Genomic DNA, 15,431 nt, shown 5'->3' with positions numbered 1-15,431 from the left:
CCATTCCTTTCCATTCCATTACATTCCACTCGGTTTGTTTCCATTACATTGAATTCCATTCCATTTCTTTCCATAACATTGCATTCCTTTGCATTCCATTTCACTCTGGTTGCTTCCTTTCCATTCCATTCCATTTGTTTCCATTCCATTCCATTCCATTCATTTAATTCCATTCCATTCCATTCCTTTCCACTCAGGTTGATTCCGTACGATTCCATTCCAATCCATTCCATACCATTCCATTCTAGTTGATTCCATTGCATTCCATGCCATTCCATTCCATTCCACTCCATTCCAATACATACCACTCGGGTTGATTCCATTCCTTTCCATACCATTCCATTCCATTCCATTGCATTCCACTCGGGTTGATTCCATTCTATTCCATTCCATTCCATTCCATTCCACTCCACTGCATTCCATTGCATTCCCTTCCACTGGGGTTGTTTCCTTTCCATTCCATTGTATTAGTATCCATTCCATTCCATTCCATTCATTCCATTCCATTCCATTCCATTGCACTCAGGTTGATTCTATTCGATTCCATTCCATTCCTTTCTATTCCATTCCATTGCATTCCATTCCATTCTAGTTGATTGCATTGCATTCCATGCCGTTCCATTCCATTCCACTCCATTCCAATCCGTTCAACTCAGGTTGATTCCATTCCATTCCATTCCATTCCATTGCATTCCACTCGGGTTGATTCCATTCCTTTCCATTCCATTCCATTCCATTTCATTCCATTCCATTCCATTCCATTTCGTTCCTTTCCAGTTGATTCCATTCCATTCCATTGCATTCCATTCCATTCCAATTGGGTTGATTTAATTCCATTCCATTCCATTCTAGTCCATTCCATTCCATTCCATTCCATTCCTGTCCATTCCATTCCATTCCATTCCATTCCATTCCATTCCATTCCACTCCATTCCTTTCCATTACATTCCACTGGTGTTTATTACATTCCACTCCATTCCATTTCATTCCATTCCATTCCATTTATTCCATTCCATTCCATTCCATTCCACTCGGTTTGACTCCATTCCATACCATTGCATTCCATTGCATTCCATTCCTTTACTTTCCATTCCATTCCTTTCCACTCCATACCATTCCATGGATGGACTCATCAGCGAATGGATTCGAATGGAATCATCATCAGATGGAAATGAATGGAATCATCATAGAATGGAATCGAATGGATTCATTGAATGGAATCAGATGGAATCATCGAATGGACTTTAATGGAATCATTAAATGGACTCGAATGGAATCATTATTGAATGGAATTGAATGGAATCTTCCAATGGTCTCGAATGGAATTATTATCAAATGGAACCGAATGGAATCACCGAATAGAATCGAATGGAACAATCATCGAATGGACCCAAATGGAATTATCCTCAAATGGAATAGAATGGAATTATCGAATGCAATCGAATAGAATCATCGAATGGACTCGAGTGGAATCATCGAATGGAATGGAATGGAATAGTCAATGAACTCGAATGGAATCATCATTGAATGGAATCGAATGGAATCATTGAGTGGAATCGAATGGAATCACGATCAAATGGAATCGAATGTAATCATCATCAAATGGAATCAAAATAACCATCATCAATTGGTATTGAATGGAATTGTCATCAAATGGAATTCAAAGGAATCAACATCAAATGGAACCGAATGGAATCCTCGTTGAATGGAAATGAAAGGAGTCATCATCTAATGGAATCACATGGAATCATCATCTAATGGAATCGAATGGAATCATCATCGAATGGACTCATCATCAAATCGAATCTAATGGCATCATTGAAAGGAATTGAATGGAACCGTCATCGAATGAATTGAATGCAATCATTGAATGGTCTCGAATGGAATCATCTTCAAATGGAAAGGAATGGAATCATCGCATGGAATCAAATGGAATTATCATTGAATGGACCGAATGGAATCAACATCAAACGGAATCAAACGGAATTATTGAATGGAATCGGAGAGAATCATCGAATGGCCACGAATGGAATCATCTAATGGAGTGGAATGGAATAATCCCTTGACCCGAATGCAATCATCATCAAATAGAATCGAATGGAATCATCGAATGTACTCGAATGGAATAATCAAACGGAATCGAATGGAATCATCGTCGAATGGAAACGAATGGAATCATCATCGAATGGAAATGAAAGGAGTCATCATCTAATGGAATCGCATGGAATCATCATCAAACGGAATCGCATGGAATCATCATCAAATGGAATCTAATGGAATCGTTGAACGGAATTGAATGGAATCGTCATCGAATGAATTGAATGCAATCATCGAATGGTGTCGAATGGAATCATCTTCAAATGGCATGGAATGGAATCATCGCATAGAATCGAATGGAATTATCATCGAATGGACTCAAATGGAATCAACATCAAACGGAATCAAACGGAATTATCAAATGGAATCGAAGAGAATCATCGAATGGACTCGAATGGAATCATCTAATGAAATAGAATGGAATAATCCATGGACTCGAATGCAATCATCATCAAATGGAATAGAGTGGAATCGGCGAATGAACTCGAATGGAATAAACATTGAACGGAATCGAATGGAATCATCATCGGATGGAAACGAATGGAATCATCATCGAATGGAATCGAATGGAATCATCAAATGGAATCAGATGGAATCATCATCAAATGAAATCGAATAGAACTATGGAATGAAATCCAATATGATCATCATCGAATGGACTCGAGCGGAATCATCATCCAATGGAAGCTAATGGAATCAAAATCGTATGGAATCGAATGGAAACACCATCGAATTGAAACGAATGGAATTATCATGAAATTGAAATGGATGGACTCATCATCGAATGGATTCGAATGGAATCATCGAATGAAATTGATTGAAATCATCATCAAATGGAATCGAATGGCATCATTGAATGGAATCGAATGGAATCATCATCAGATGGAAATGAATGGAATCATCACTGAATGGAATCGAATGGATTCATTGAATGGAATCAGATGGGATCATCGAATGGACTTGAATGGAATCATTGAATGGACTCGAAAGGAATCATTATTGAATGGAATTGAATGGAATCATCGAATGGTCTCGAATGGAATCATTATCAAATGGAATCGAATGGAATCACCGAATAGAATCGAATGGAACAATCATCGAATGGACTCAAATGGAATTATCCTCAAATGGAATCGAAGGGAATTATCTAATGCAATCGAATAGAATTATCGAATGCAATCGAATAGAATCATCGAGTGGACTCGAATGGAATCATCGAGTGGAATGGAATGGAATAGTCAATGAACTCGAATGGAATCATCATTGAATGGAATAGAATGGAATCATCGAGTGGAATCGAATGGAATCACAATCAAATGGCATCGAATGTAATCATCATCAAATGGAATCAAAAATAACCATCATCAATTGGTATTGAATGGAATTGTCATCAAATGGAATTCAAAGGAATCATCATCAAATGGAACCGAATGGAATCCTCATTGAATGGAAATGAAAGGAGTCATCATCTAATGGAATCGCATGGAATCATCATCAAATGGAATCGAATGGAATCATCATTAAATGGAATCATCATCAAATCAAATCTAATGGTATCATTGAACGGAATTGAATGGAACCGTCATCTAATGAATTGAATGCAATCATCGAATGGTCCCGAATGGAATCATCTACAAATGGAAAGGAATGGAATCATCGCATAGAATCGAATGGAATTATGATTGAATGGACCGAATGGAATCAACATCAAACTTAATCAAACGGAATTATCGAATGGAATCGGAAAGAATCATCGAATGGCCACGAATGGAATCATCTAATGGAATGGAATGGAATAATCCATGGACTCGAATGCAATCATCATCGAATAGAATCGAATGGAATCATCGAATGGACTCGAATGGAATAATCATTGAACGGAATCGAATGGAATCATCGTCGAACGGAAACAAATGGAATCATCATCGAATGCAAATGAAAGGAGTCATCATCTAATGGAATCGCATGGAATCATCATCAAATGGAATCGCATGGAATCATCATCGAATGGAATCGAATGGAATCGTCGAATGGACTCGAAAGGAATAAACATTGAACGGAATCCAATGCAGTCTTCACCGGATGGAAACGAATGGAATCATCATCGAATTGAATGGAATGGAATCATCAAATGGAATCAGATGGAATCATCATCAAATGGAATCGAATAGAATTATGGAATGAAACCCAATGTGATCATCATCGAACGGACTTGAATGGAATCATCATCCAATGGAAACTAATGGAATCAACATCGAATGGAATCGAATGGAAACACCATCGAATTGAAACGAATGGAATTATCATGAAATTGAAAAGGAAGGACTCATCATCGAATGGATTCGAATGGAATCATCGAATGAAATTGATTGAAATCATCATCTAATGGAATCGAATGGAATCATTGAATGGAATCGAATGGAATCATCATCATATGGAAATGAATGCAATCATCATTGAATGGAATCGAATGGATTCATTGAATGGAATCACATAGAATCATCGAATGGACTTGAATGGAAACATTGAATGGACTCGAATGGAATCATTATTGAATGGAATTCAATGGAATCATCGAATGGTCTCGAATAGAATCATTATCAAATGGAATCGAATGGAATAATTATCGAATGGAATCGAATGGAACAATCATGGAATGGACTCAAATGGCATTATCCTCAAATGGAATTGAATGGATTTATCAAATGCAATCGAATGGAATTATAGAATGCCATCAAATAGAATCATCGAATGGACTCGAATGGAATCATCGAATGGAATGGAATGGAATAGTCAATGAACTCGAATGGAATCATCATTGAATGGAATCGAATGGAATCATCGAGTGGAATCGAATAGAATCATGATCAAATGGAATCAAGTGTAATCATCATCAAATGGAATCAAAAATAACCATCATCAGTTGGTATTGAATGGAATTGTCATCAAATGGAATTCAAAGGAATCATCATCAAATGGAACCGAATGGAATCCTCATTGAATGGAAATGAAAGGAATCATCATCTAATGGAATCGCATGGAATCATCATCAAATGGAATCGAATGGAATAATCATCGAATGGAATCTAATGGAATCATTGAACAGAATTGAATGGAATCGTCATCGAATGAATTGAATGCAATCATCGAATGGTCTCGAATGGCATCATCTTCAAATGGAAAGGAATGGAATCATCGCATAGAATCGAATGGAATTGTCATTGAATGGACTCGAATGGAATCAACATCAAACGGAATCAAACGGAATTATCGAATGGAATCGAAGAGAATCATCGAATGGCCTCGAATGGAATCCTCTAATGGAATGGAATGAAATAATCCATGGACACGAATGTAATCATCATCGAATAGAATCGAATGGAATCATCGTATGGACTCGAATGGAATAATCATTGAACGGAATCGAATGGAATCATCGTCGAATGGAGGAAACAAATGGAATCATCATAGAATGGAAATGAAAGGGGTCATCATCCAATGGAATCGCATGGAATCATCATCAAATGGAATCGAATGGAATCATCATCGAATGGAATCTAATGGAATCATTGAACGGAATTGAATGGAATCATCATCGAATGAATTGAATGCAATCATCGAATGGTCTCGAATGGAATCATCTTCAAAATGAATGGAATGGAATCATCGCATAGAATCGAATGGAATTAACATCGAATGGACTCAAATGGAATCAACATCAAACGGAATCAAACGGAATTATCGAATGGAATCGAAGAGAATCATCGAATGGACTCGAATGGAATCATCTAATGAAATAGAATGGAATAATCCATGGACTAGAATGCAATCATCCTCAAATGGAATCGAATGGAATCGTCGAATGGACTCGAATGGAATAAATATTGAACGGAATCGAATGGAATCATCATCGGATGGAAACGAATGGAATCATTATCGAATGGAATCGAATGGAATCATGAAATGGAATCAGATGGAATCATCATCAAATGGAATCAAATACAATTATGGAATGAAATCCAATGTGATCATCATCAAATGGAATCGAACGGAATCATCATCCACTGGAAACTAATGGAATCAACATCGAATGGAATCGAATGGAAACACCATCGAATTGAAACGAATGGAATTATCATGAAATTGAAATGGATGGACTCATCATCGAATGGATTCGAATGGAATCATCGAATGAAATTGATTGAAATCATCATCAAATGGAATCGAATGGAATCATTGAATGGAATCGAATGGAATCATCATCAGATGGAAAAGAATGGAATCATCATAGAATGGAATCGAATGGATTCATTGAATGGAATCAGATGGAATCATCGAATGGACTTGAATGGAATCATTGAAAGGAAACGAATGGAATGAACATCAAACGGAATCAAACGGAATTATCGAATGGAATCGAAGAGAATCATCAAATGGCCACGAATGGAATCATCTAATAAAATAGAATGGAATAATCCATGGACTCGAATGCAATCATCATCAAATGGAATCGAATGGAATCAGCGAATGGAATCAAATGGAGTAAACATTGAACGGAATCGAATGGAATCTTCATCAGATGGAAACGAATGGAATCATCATCGAATGGAATCGAATGGAATCATTGAATGGAATCGAATGGAATCATCTTCAGATGGAAATGAATGGAATCATCAAACAATGGATTCGAATGGATTCATTGAATGGAATCAGAAGGAATCATCGAATGGACTTGAATGGAATCATTGAATGGACTCGAATGGAATCATTATTGAATGGAATAGAAAGTAATCATCGAATGGTCTCGAATGGAATCATTATCAATTGGAATCGAATGGAATCACCGAATAGAATCGAATGGAACAATCATCAAATGGACTCAAATGGAATTATTCTCAAATGGAATCAAATGGAATTATCGAATGGACCGAATGGAATTATCGAATGCAATCAAATAGAATCATCGAATGGACTCGAATGGAATCATCGAATGGAATGGAATGGAATAGTCAATGAACTCGAATGGAATCATCATTGAATGGAATAGAATGGAATCATCGAGTGGAATCAAATGGAATCATCATCAAATGGAATCGAATGTAATCATCATCAAATGGAATCAAAAATAAACATCGTCAATTGGTATTGAATGGAATTGTCATCAAATGGAATTCAAAGGAATCATCATCAAATGGAACCGAATGGAATCCTCATTGAATGGAAATGAAAGGAGTCATCATCTAATGGAATCGCATGGAATCATCATCAAATGGAATCGAATGGAATCATTGAACGGAATTGAATGGAATCGTCATCGAATGAATTGAATGCAATCATCGAATGGTCTGGAATGGAATCATCTTCAAATGGAAAGGAATGGAATCATCGCATAGAATCGAATGGAATTATCATTGAATGGATTCAAATCGAATAAACATCAAACGGAATCAAACGGAATTATCGAATGGAATCGAAGAGCATCATCGAATGGCCACGAATGGAATCATCTAATGGAATGGAATGGAATTATCCATGGACACGAATGCAATCATCATCGAATAGAACCCAATGGAATCATCAAATGAACTCGAATGGAATAATCATTGAACGGGATCGAATGGAATCATCGCCGAACGGAAACGAATGGAAACATCATCGAATGGAAATGAAAGGAGTCATCATCTATTGGAATCGCATGGAATCATCATCAAATGGAATCGAATGGAATCATCATCGAATGGAATCTAATGGAATCATTGAAGGGAATTGAAAGGAATCGTCATCGAATGGATTGAATGCAATCATCGAATGGTCTCGAATGGAATAATCTCCAAATGGAATGGAAAGGAATCATCGTATAGATTCGAATGGAATTATCATCGAAAGGACTCAGATGGAATCAACATCAAACGGAATCAAACGGAGTTATCGAATGGAATCGAAGAGAATCATCGAATGGACTCGAATGGAATCATCTAATGAAATAGAATGGAATAATTGATGGACTCGTATGCAATCATCATCAAATGGAATTAAATGGAATCGTCAAATGGACTCGAATGGAATAAATATTGAACGGAATCGAATGGAATCATCATCAGATGGAAACGAATGGAATCATCATCGAATGGAATCGAATGGAATCATCAAATGGAATCAGATGGAATCATCATCAAATGGAATCGAATAGAATTATGGAATGAAATCCAATGTGATCATCATTGAATGGACTCGAATGGAACCATCATCCAATGGAAACTAATGGAATCAACATCGAATGGAATCGAATGGAAACACCATCGAATTGAAATGAATGGAATTATCATGAAATTGAAATGGATGGATTCATCACCGAATGGATTCGAATGGAATCATCGAATGAAATTGATTGAAATCATCATCAAATTGAATCGAATGGAATCATTGAATGGAATCGAAAGGAATCCTCATCAGATGGAAATGAATGGAATCATCATATAATGGAATCGAATGGATTCATTGAATGGAATCAGATGGAATCATCGAATGGACTTGAATGGAATCATTGAATGGACTCGAATGGAATCATTATTGAATGGAATAGAATGGAATCATCGAATGGTATTGAATGGAATCATTATCCAATGGAATCGAATGGAATCACCGAATAGAATCGAATGGAACAATCATCGAATGGACTCAAAAGGAATTATCCTCAACTGGAATCAAATGGAATTATCAAATGCAATCGAATGGAATTATCGAATGCAATCGAGTAGAATCATCGAATGGACTCGAATGGTATCATCGAATGGAACGGAATGGAATAGTCAATGAACTCGAATGGAATCATCATTGAATGGAATCGAATGGAATCATCGAGTGGAATCGAATGGAATCACGATTAAATGGAATCGAATGTAATCATCAAATGGAATCAAAAATAACAATCATCAATTGGTATTGAATGGAATTGTCATCAAATGGAATTCAAAGGAATCATCATCAAATGGAACCGAATGGAAACCTCATTGAATGGAAATGAAAGGAGTCATCAAATAATGGAATCGCATGGAATCATCATCAAATGGATTTGAATGGAATCATCATCAAATGGAATCTAATGGAATCATTGAAAGGAATTGAATGGAATCGTCATCGAATGAATTGAATGTAATCATCGATTGGTCTCGAATGGAATCATCATCAAATGGAAAGGAATGGAATCATCGCAAAGAATCGAATGGAATTATCATTGAATGGAGTCGAATGGAATCAACATCAAACGGAATCAAACGGAATTATCGAATGGAATCGAAGAGAATCATCGAATGGCCACGAATGGAATCATCTAATGGAATGGAATGGAATAATCCATGGTCCCGAATGCAATCATCATCGAATAGAATCGAATGGAATCATCGAATGGACTCGAATGGAATAATCATTGAACGGAATCAAATGGAATCATCGTCGAATGGAAACGAATGGAATCATCATCGAATGGAAGTGAAAGGAGTCATCATCTAATGGAATCGCATGGAATCATCATGAAATGGAATCGAATGGAATCATCATCGAATGGATTCTAATGGAATCATTGAACGGAATTGAATGGAATCGTCATCGAATGAATTTAATGCAATCATTGAATGGTCTCGAATGGAATCATCTTCAAATGGAATGGAATGGAATCATCGCATAGAATCGAATGGAATTATCATCAAATGGACTCAAATGGAATCAACATCAAACGGAATCAAACGGGATTATCAAATGCAATCGAAGAGAATCATCGAATGGACTCGAATGAAATAATCTAATGGGATGGAATGGAATAATCCATGGACTCGAATGCTCTCATCATCGAATGGAATCGAATGGAATCATCGAATGGACTCGAATGGAACAATCATTCAACGGAATCGAATGGAATCATCATTGGATGGAAACGAATGCAATCATCATCGAATGGAATTGAATGGAATCATCAAATGGAATCAGATGGAATCATCATCAAATGGAATTGAGTAGAATTATGGAATGAAATCCAATGTGATCATCATCGAATGGACTCGAATGGAATCATCATCCAATGGAAACTAATGGAATCAACATCGAATGGAATCGAATGGAAACACCATCGAATTGAAACGAATGGAATTATCATGAAATTGAAATGGATGGACTCATCATCGAATGGATTCGAAATGTAATCATCGAATGAAATTGATTGAAATCATCATCAAATTGAATCGAATGGAATCATTGAATGGAATCGAATGGAATCATCATCAGATGGAAACGAATGGAATCATCATAGAATGGAATCGAATGGATTCATTGAATGGAATCAGATGGAATCATCAAGAGGACTTGAATGCAATCACTGAATGGACTCGAATGAAATCATTATTGAATGGAATTGAATGGAATCATCGAATGGTCTCGAAAGGAATCCTTATCAAATGGAATCGAATGGAATCACCGAATAGAATCGAATGGAACAATCATCGAATGGACTCAAATGGAATTATCCTCAAATGGAATCGAATGGAATTATCGAATGCAATCGAATGGAATTATCGAATGCAATCAAATAGAATCATCGAAAGGACTCGATTGGAATCGTCGAATGGAATGGAATGGAATAGTCAATGAACTCGAATGGAATAATCATTGAATGGAATCGAATGGAATCATTGAGTGGAATCGAATGGAACCATGATCAAATGGAATCGAATATAATCATCATCAAACGGAATCAAAAATAACCATAATCAATTGGTATTGAATGGAATTGTCATCCAATGGAATTCAAAGGAATCATCATCAAATGGAACCGAATGGAATCCTCATTGAATGGAAATGAAAGGAGTCATCATCTAATGGAATCGCATGGTATCTTCATCAAATGGAATCGAATGGAATCATCATCAAATGGAATCGAATGGAATCATTGAACGGAATTGAATGGAATCGTCATAGAATGTATTGAATGCAATCATCGAATGGTCTCGAATGGAATCATCTTCAAATGGATTAGAATGGAATCATCGCATAGAATCGAATGGAATTATCATCGAATGGACTGGAATTGAATCAACATCAAACGGAATCAAACGGAATTATCGAATGGAATCGAAGAGCATCATCGAATGGACTCGAATGGAATCATCTAATGGAATGGAATGGAGTATTCCATGGACTCGAATGCAATCATCATCGAATGGAATCGAATGGAATCATCGAATGGACACGAGTGGAATAATCATTGAACGGAATCGAATGGAATCATCATCGAATGGCATCGAATGGAATCATCAAATGGAAGCAGACGGAATCATCATCAAATGGAATCGAGTAGAATTATGGAATGAAATCCAATGTCATCATCATCGAATGGACTCGAACGGAATCATCATCCAATGGAAACTAATGGAATCAACATCGAATGGAATCGAATGGAAACACCATCGAATTGAAAGGAATGGAATTATCATGAATTTGAAATGGATGGACTCATCATCGAAAGGATTCGAATGGAATCATCGAATGAAATTGATTGAAATCATCATCAAATGGAATCGAATGGAATCATTGAATGGAATCGAATGGAATCATCATCAGATGGAAATGAATGGAATCATCATAGAATGGAATCGAATGGATTCATTGAATGGAATCAGATGGAATCATTGAATGGACTTGAATGGAAACATTGAATGGACTCGAATGCAATCTTTATTGAATGGAATTGAATGGAATCATGGAATGGTCTCTAATGGAATCATCATCAAATGGAATCGAATGGAATCACCGAATAGAATCGAATGGAAGAATCATTGAATGGACTCAAATGGAATTATCCTCAAATGGAATCGAATGGAAATATCGAATGCAATCGAATGGAATTATCAAATGCAATCGAATAGAATCATCTAATGGACTCGAATGGAATCATAGAATGGAATGGAATGGAATAGTCAATGAACTCGAATGGAATCATCATTGAATGGAATCGAATGGAATCATCATCAAATGGAATCTAATGGAATCATTGAATGGAATTGAATGGAATCGTCATCGAATGAATTGAATGCAATCATCGAATGGTCTCGAATGGAATCATCATCAAATGGAAAGGAATGAAATCATCGCATAGAATCGAATGGAATTATCATTGAATGGACTCGAATGGAATCAACATCAAACGGAGTCAAACGGAATTATCGAATGGAATCGAAGAGAATCATCAAATGGCCACGAATGGAATCATCTAATGGAATGGAATGGAATAATCCATGGACCCGAATGCAATCATCATCGAATAGAATCGAATGGAATCATCGAATGGACTCGAATGGAATAATCATTGAACGGAATCAAATGGAATCATCGTCGAATGGAAACGAATGGAATCATCATCGAGTGGAAATGAAAGGAGTCATCATCTAATGGAATCGTATGGAATCATCATCAAATGAAACCTAATGGAATCTTTGAACGGAATTGAATGGAATCGTCATCGAATGAATTGAATGCAATCACTGAATGGTCTCGAATTTAATCATCTTCAAATGGAATGGAATGGAATCATCGCATAGAATCGAATGGAATTATCATCGAATGGACTAAAATGGAATCAACATCAAACGGAATCAAACTGAATTATTGAATGGAATCGAAGATAATCATCGAATGGACTCGAATGGAATCATCTAATGGAATGGAATGGAATAATCCATGGACTCGAATGCAATCATCTTCGAATGGAATCGAATGGAATCATCGAATGGACTCGAAGGGAATAATCATTGAAAGGAATCGAATGGAATCATCATTGGATGGAAACGAATGGAATCGTCATTGAATGGAATCGAATGGAATCATCAAATGGAATCAGATGGAATCATCATCAAATGGAATCGGTTAGAATTATGGAATGAAATCCAATGTGATGATCATCGAATGGACTCGAATGGAATCATGATCCAATGGAAACTAAAGGAATCAACATCGAATGCAATCAAATGGAAACACCATCGAATTGAAAAGAATGGAATTATCATGAAATTGAAATGGATGGACTCATCATCGAATGGATTCAAATGGTGTCATCGAATGAAATTCATTGCAATCATCATCAAATGGAATCGAATGGAATCATTGAAATGAATCAATTGGAATCATCATCAGATGGAAATGAATGGAATCATCATAGAATGGAATCGAATGGAATCATCAAATGGAATCAGATGGAATCATCATGAAATGGAATAGAATAGAATTATGGAATGAAATCCAATGTGATCATGATCGAATGGACTCAAATGGAATCATCATCCAATGGAAACTAATGGAATTAACATCGAATGGAATCGAATGGAAACACCATCGAATTGAAACGAATGGAATTATGAAATTGAAATGGATGGACTCATCATCAAATGGATTCGAATGGAATCATCAAATGAAATTGATTGAAATCATCATCAAATGGAATCGAATGGAATCATTGAATGGAATTGAATGGAATTATCATCAGATAGAAATGAATGGAACCATCATAGAATGGAATCGAATGGATTCATTGAATGGAATCAGATGGAATCAACAAATGGACTTGAATGGAATCATTGAATGGACTCGAATGGAATCATTATTGAATGGAATTGAATGGAATCATCGCATGGTCTCGAATGGAATCATTATCAAATAGAATCGAATGGAATCACCGAATAGAATCGAATGGAACAATCATCGAATGGACTCAAATGGAATTATCCTCAAATGGAATCAAATGGAATTATCAAATGCAATCGAATGGAATTATCGAATGCAATCGAATAGAATCATCGAATGGACTCAAATGGAATCATCGAATGGAATGGAATGGAATAGTCAATGAACTCGAATGGAATCATCATTGAATGGAATCGAATGGAATCATCGAGTGGAATCAAATGGAATCATGATCAAATGGAATCGAATGTAATCATCATCAAATGGAATCAAAAATAACCATAATCAATTGGTATTGAATGGAATTGTCATCAAATGGAATTCAATGGAATCATCATCATATGGAACCGAATGGAATCCTAATTGAATGGAAATGAAAGGAGTCATCATCTAATGGAATCGCATGGAATCATCACCAATGGAATCGAATGGAATCATCATTAAATGGAATCTAATAGAATCATTGAACGGAATTGAATGGAATCGTCATCGAATGAATTGAATGCAATCATCGAATGGTCTCGAATGGAATCACCTTCAAATGGAAAGGAATGGAATCATCGCATAGAATCGAATGGAATTATCATTGAATGGACTCAAATGGAATCAACGTCAAACGGAATCAAATGGAATTATCAAATGCAATCGAAGAGAATCATCGAATGGACTCGAATGGAACCATCTAATGGAATGGAATGGAATAATCCATGGACTCGAATGCAATCATCATCAAATGGAATCGAATGGAATCATCGAATGGACTCAAATGGAATAATCATTGAACGGAATCAAATGGAATCATCATCGGATGGAAACGAATGGAATCATCATCTAATGGAATCAAATGGAATCATCAAATGGAATCAGATGGAATCATCATCAAATGGAATCGAGTAGAATTATGGAATGAAATCCAATGTGATCATCATCGAATGGACTCGAATGGAATCATCATCCAAAGGAAGCTAATGGAATCAACATCGAATGGAATCGAATGGAAACACCATCAAATTGAAACGAATGGAATTATCATGAAATTGAAATGGATGGACTCATCATCGAATGGATTCGAATCGAACCATCGAATGAAATTGATTGAAATCATGATCAAATGGAATCCAATGGAATCATTGAATGGAATCGAGTGGAATCATCATCAGATGGAAATAAATGGAATCATCATAGAATGGAATCGAATGTATTCATTGTATGGAATCAGATGGAATCATCGAATGGACTTGAATGGAATCGTTGAATGGACTCAAATGGAATCATTATTGAATGGAATTGAATGGAATCATTGAATGGTCTTGAATGGAATCATTATCAAATGGAATCGAATGGAATCACCGAATAGAATCGAATGGAACAACTTGGGAAGGAGTATGTGTTGAGGAATTTATCCATTCCTTCTAGATTTTCTGGTTTATTTGCACAGAGGTGTTTTTAGTATTCTCTGATGGTAGTTTGTATTTCTGTGGGATTGGTGGTGATATCCCCTTTATCATTTTTAATTGCATCTATTTGATTCTTCTCTCTTTTCTTCTGTGTTGTTCTTGCTTGATTGTGCCTCTCCTCTTCCAAAGGAATGCAGCTTCACACCAGCAATG

At 36.3% G+C, this 15,431-nt stretch overlaps 18 annotated features.

Moving 5' to 3' along the window:
- Nucleotides 122-1,074: an enhancer, noted in NCBI's record as "OCT4-NANOG-H3K27ac-H3K4me1 hESC enhancer chr10:42382224-42383176 (GRCh37/hg19 assembly coordinates)". NCBI's record gives its function as "activates a minimal SCP1, AML or CMV promoter by ChIP-STARR-seq in naive H9 embryonic stem cells {active_cell/tissue: H9 hESC(naive)}" and the evidence as "EXISTENCE:reporter gene assay evidence [ECO:0000049][PMID:30033119]".
- Nucleotides 1,075-2,026: an enhancer, noted in NCBI's record as "OCT4-NANOG-H3K27ac-H3K4me1 hESC enhancer chr10:42383177-42384128 (GRCh37/hg19 assembly coordinates)". NCBI's record gives its function as "activates a minimal SCP1, AML or CMV promoter by ChIP-STARR-seq in naive and primed H9 embryonic stem cells {active_cell/tissue: H9 hESC(naive and primed)}" and the evidence as "EXISTENCE:reporter gene assay evidence [ECO:0000049][PMID:30033119]".
- Nucleotides 2,027-2,978: an enhancer, noted in NCBI's record as "OCT4-NANOG-H3K27ac-H3K4me1 hESC enhancer chr10:42384129-42385080 (GRCh37/hg19 assembly coordinates)". NCBI's record gives its function as "activates a minimal SCP1, AML or CMV promoter by ChIP-STARR-seq in naive and primed H9 embryonic stem cells {active_cell/tissue: H9 hESC(naive and primed)}" and the evidence as "EXISTENCE:reporter gene assay evidence [ECO:0000049][PMID:30033119]".
- Nucleotides 2,027-3,930: a biological region, named in NCBI's record as "OCT4-NANOG-H3K27ac-H3K4me1 hESC enhancers GRCh37_chr10:42385081-42386032 and GRCh37_chr10:42384129-42385080".
- Nucleotides 2,854-3,599: a silencer, noted in NCBI's record as "fragment chr10:42384956-42385701 (GRCh37/hg19 assembly coordinates)". NCBI's record gives its function as "represses an EF-1alpha promoter that drives an FKBP-Casp9 reporter gene in an ReSE screen in HepG2 liver carcinoma cells {active_cell/tissue: HepG2}" and the evidence as "EXISTENCE:reporter gene assay evidence [ECO:0000049][PMID:32094911]".
- Nucleotides 2,979-3,930: an enhancer, noted in NCBI's record as "OCT4-NANOG-H3K27ac-H3K4me1 hESC enhancer chr10:42385081-42386032 (GRCh37/hg19 assembly coordinates)". NCBI's record gives its function as "activates a minimal SCP1, AML or CMV promoter by ChIP-STARR-seq in naive and primed H9 embryonic stem cells {active_cell/tissue: H9 hESC(naive and primed)}" and the evidence as "EXISTENCE:reporter gene assay evidence [ECO:0000049][PMID:30033119]".
- Nucleotides 3,931-4,882: an enhancer, noted in NCBI's record as "OCT4-NANOG-H3K27ac-H3K4me1 hESC enhancer chr10:42386033-42386984 (GRCh37/hg19 assembly coordinates)". NCBI's record gives its function as "activates a minimal SCP1, AML or CMV promoter by ChIP-STARR-seq in naive and primed H9 embryonic stem cells {active_cell/tissue: H9 hESC(naive and primed)}" and the evidence as "EXISTENCE:reporter gene assay evidence [ECO:0000049][PMID:30033119]".
- Nucleotides 4,883-5,834: an enhancer, noted in NCBI's record as "OCT4-NANOG-H3K27ac-H3K4me1 hESC enhancer chr10:42386985-42387936 (GRCh37/hg19 assembly coordinates)". NCBI's record gives its function as "activates a minimal SCP1, AML or CMV promoter by ChIP-STARR-seq in naive and primed H9 embryonic stem cells {active_cell/tissue: H9 hESC(naive and primed)}" and the evidence as "EXISTENCE:reporter gene assay evidence [ECO:0000049][PMID:30033119]".
- Nucleotides 5,835-6,786: an enhancer, noted in NCBI's record as "OCT4-NANOG-H3K27ac-H3K4me1 hESC enhancer chr10:42387937-42388888 (GRCh37/hg19 assembly coordinates)". NCBI's record gives its function as "activates a minimal SCP1, AML or CMV promoter by ChIP-STARR-seq in naive and primed H9 embryonic stem cells {active_cell/tissue: H9 hESC(naive and primed)}" and the evidence as "EXISTENCE:reporter gene assay evidence [ECO:0000049][PMID:30033119]".
- Nucleotides 6,787-7,738: an enhancer, noted in NCBI's record as "OCT4-NANOG-H3K27ac-H3K4me1 hESC enhancer chr10:42388889-42389840 (GRCh37/hg19 assembly coordinates)". NCBI's record gives its function as "activates a minimal SCP1, AML or CMV promoter by ChIP-STARR-seq in naive and primed H9 embryonic stem cells {active_cell/tissue: H9 hESC(naive and primed)}" and the evidence as "EXISTENCE:reporter gene assay evidence [ECO:0000049][PMID:30033119]".
- Nucleotides 7,739-8,691: an enhancer, noted in NCBI's record as "OCT4-NANOG-H3K27ac-H3K4me1 hESC enhancer chr10:42389841-42390793 (GRCh37/hg19 assembly coordinates)". NCBI's record gives its function as "activates a minimal SCP1, AML or CMV promoter by ChIP-STARR-seq in naive and primed H9 embryonic stem cells {active_cell/tissue: H9 hESC(naive and primed)}" and the evidence as "EXISTENCE:reporter gene assay evidence [ECO:0000049][PMID:30033119]".
- Nucleotides 8,692-9,643: an enhancer, noted in NCBI's record as "OCT4-NANOG-H3K27ac-H3K4me1 hESC enhancer chr10:42390794-42391745 (GRCh37/hg19 assembly coordinates)". NCBI's record gives its function as "activates a minimal SCP1, AML or CMV promoter by ChIP-STARR-seq in naive and primed H9 embryonic stem cells {active_cell/tissue: H9 hESC(naive and primed)}" and the evidence as "EXISTENCE:reporter gene assay evidence [ECO:0000049][PMID:30033119]".
- Nucleotides 9,644-10,596: an enhancer, noted in NCBI's record as "OCT4-NANOG-H3K27ac-H3K4me1 hESC enhancer chr10:42391746-42392698 (GRCh37/hg19 assembly coordinates)". NCBI's record gives its function as "activates a minimal SCP1, AML or CMV promoter by ChIP-STARR-seq in naive and primed H9 embryonic stem cells {active_cell/tissue: H9 hESC(naive and primed)}" and the evidence as "EXISTENCE:reporter gene assay evidence [ECO:0000049][PMID:30033119]".
- Nucleotides 10,597-11,547: an enhancer, noted in NCBI's record as "OCT4-NANOG-H3K27ac-H3K4me1 hESC enhancer chr10:42392699-42393649 (GRCh37/hg19 assembly coordinates)". NCBI's record gives its function as "activates a minimal SCP1, AML or CMV promoter by ChIP-STARR-seq in naive and primed H9 embryonic stem cells {active_cell/tissue: H9 hESC(naive and primed)}" and the evidence as "EXISTENCE:reporter gene assay evidence [ECO:0000049][PMID:30033119]".
- Nucleotides 11,548-12,500: an enhancer, noted in NCBI's record as "OCT4-NANOG-H3K27ac-H3K4me1 hESC enhancer chr10:42393650-42394602 (GRCh37/hg19 assembly coordinates)". NCBI's record gives its function as "activates a minimal SCP1, AML or CMV promoter by ChIP-STARR-seq in naive and primed H9 embryonic stem cells {active_cell/tissue: H9 hESC(naive and primed)}" and the evidence as "EXISTENCE:reporter gene assay evidence [ECO:0000049][PMID:30033119]".
- Nucleotides 12,501-13,452: an enhancer, noted in NCBI's record as "OCT4-NANOG-H3K27ac-H3K4me1 hESC enhancer chr10:42394603-42395554 (GRCh37/hg19 assembly coordinates)". NCBI's record gives its function as "activates a minimal SCP1, AML or CMV promoter by ChIP-STARR-seq in naive and primed H9 embryonic stem cells {active_cell/tissue: H9 hESC(naive and primed)}" and the evidence as "EXISTENCE:reporter gene assay evidence [ECO:0000049][PMID:30033119]".
- Nucleotides 13,453-14,404: an enhancer, noted in NCBI's record as "OCT4-NANOG-H3K27ac-H3K4me1 hESC enhancer chr10:42395555-42396506 (GRCh37/hg19 assembly coordinates)". NCBI's record gives its function as "activates a minimal SCP1, AML or CMV promoter by ChIP-STARR-seq in naive and primed H9 embryonic stem cells {active_cell/tissue: H9 hESC(naive and primed)}" and the evidence as "EXISTENCE:reporter gene assay evidence [ECO:0000049][PMID:30033119]".
- Nucleotides 14,405-15,355: an enhancer, noted in NCBI's record as "OCT4-NANOG-H3K27ac-H3K4me1 hESC enhancer chr10:42396507-42397457 (GRCh37/hg19 assembly coordinates)". NCBI's record gives its function as "activates a minimal SCP1, AML or CMV promoter by ChIP-STARR-seq in naive and primed H9 embryonic stem cells {active_cell/tissue: H9 hESC(naive and primed)}" and the evidence as "EXISTENCE:reporter gene assay evidence [ECO:0000049][PMID:30033119]".

Source organism: Homo sapiens, chromosome 10 (assembly GCF_000001405.40).
Source record: "Homo sapiens chromosome 10, GRCh38.p14 Primary Assembly".
Classification (NCBI taxonomy): domain Eukaryota; kingdom Metazoa; phylum Chordata; class Mammalia; order Primates; family Hominidae; genus Homo; species Homo sapiens.
Note: the sequence above shows the minus strand (reverse complement) of the source record. Positions and strands in the feature narration are given on the sequence as shown.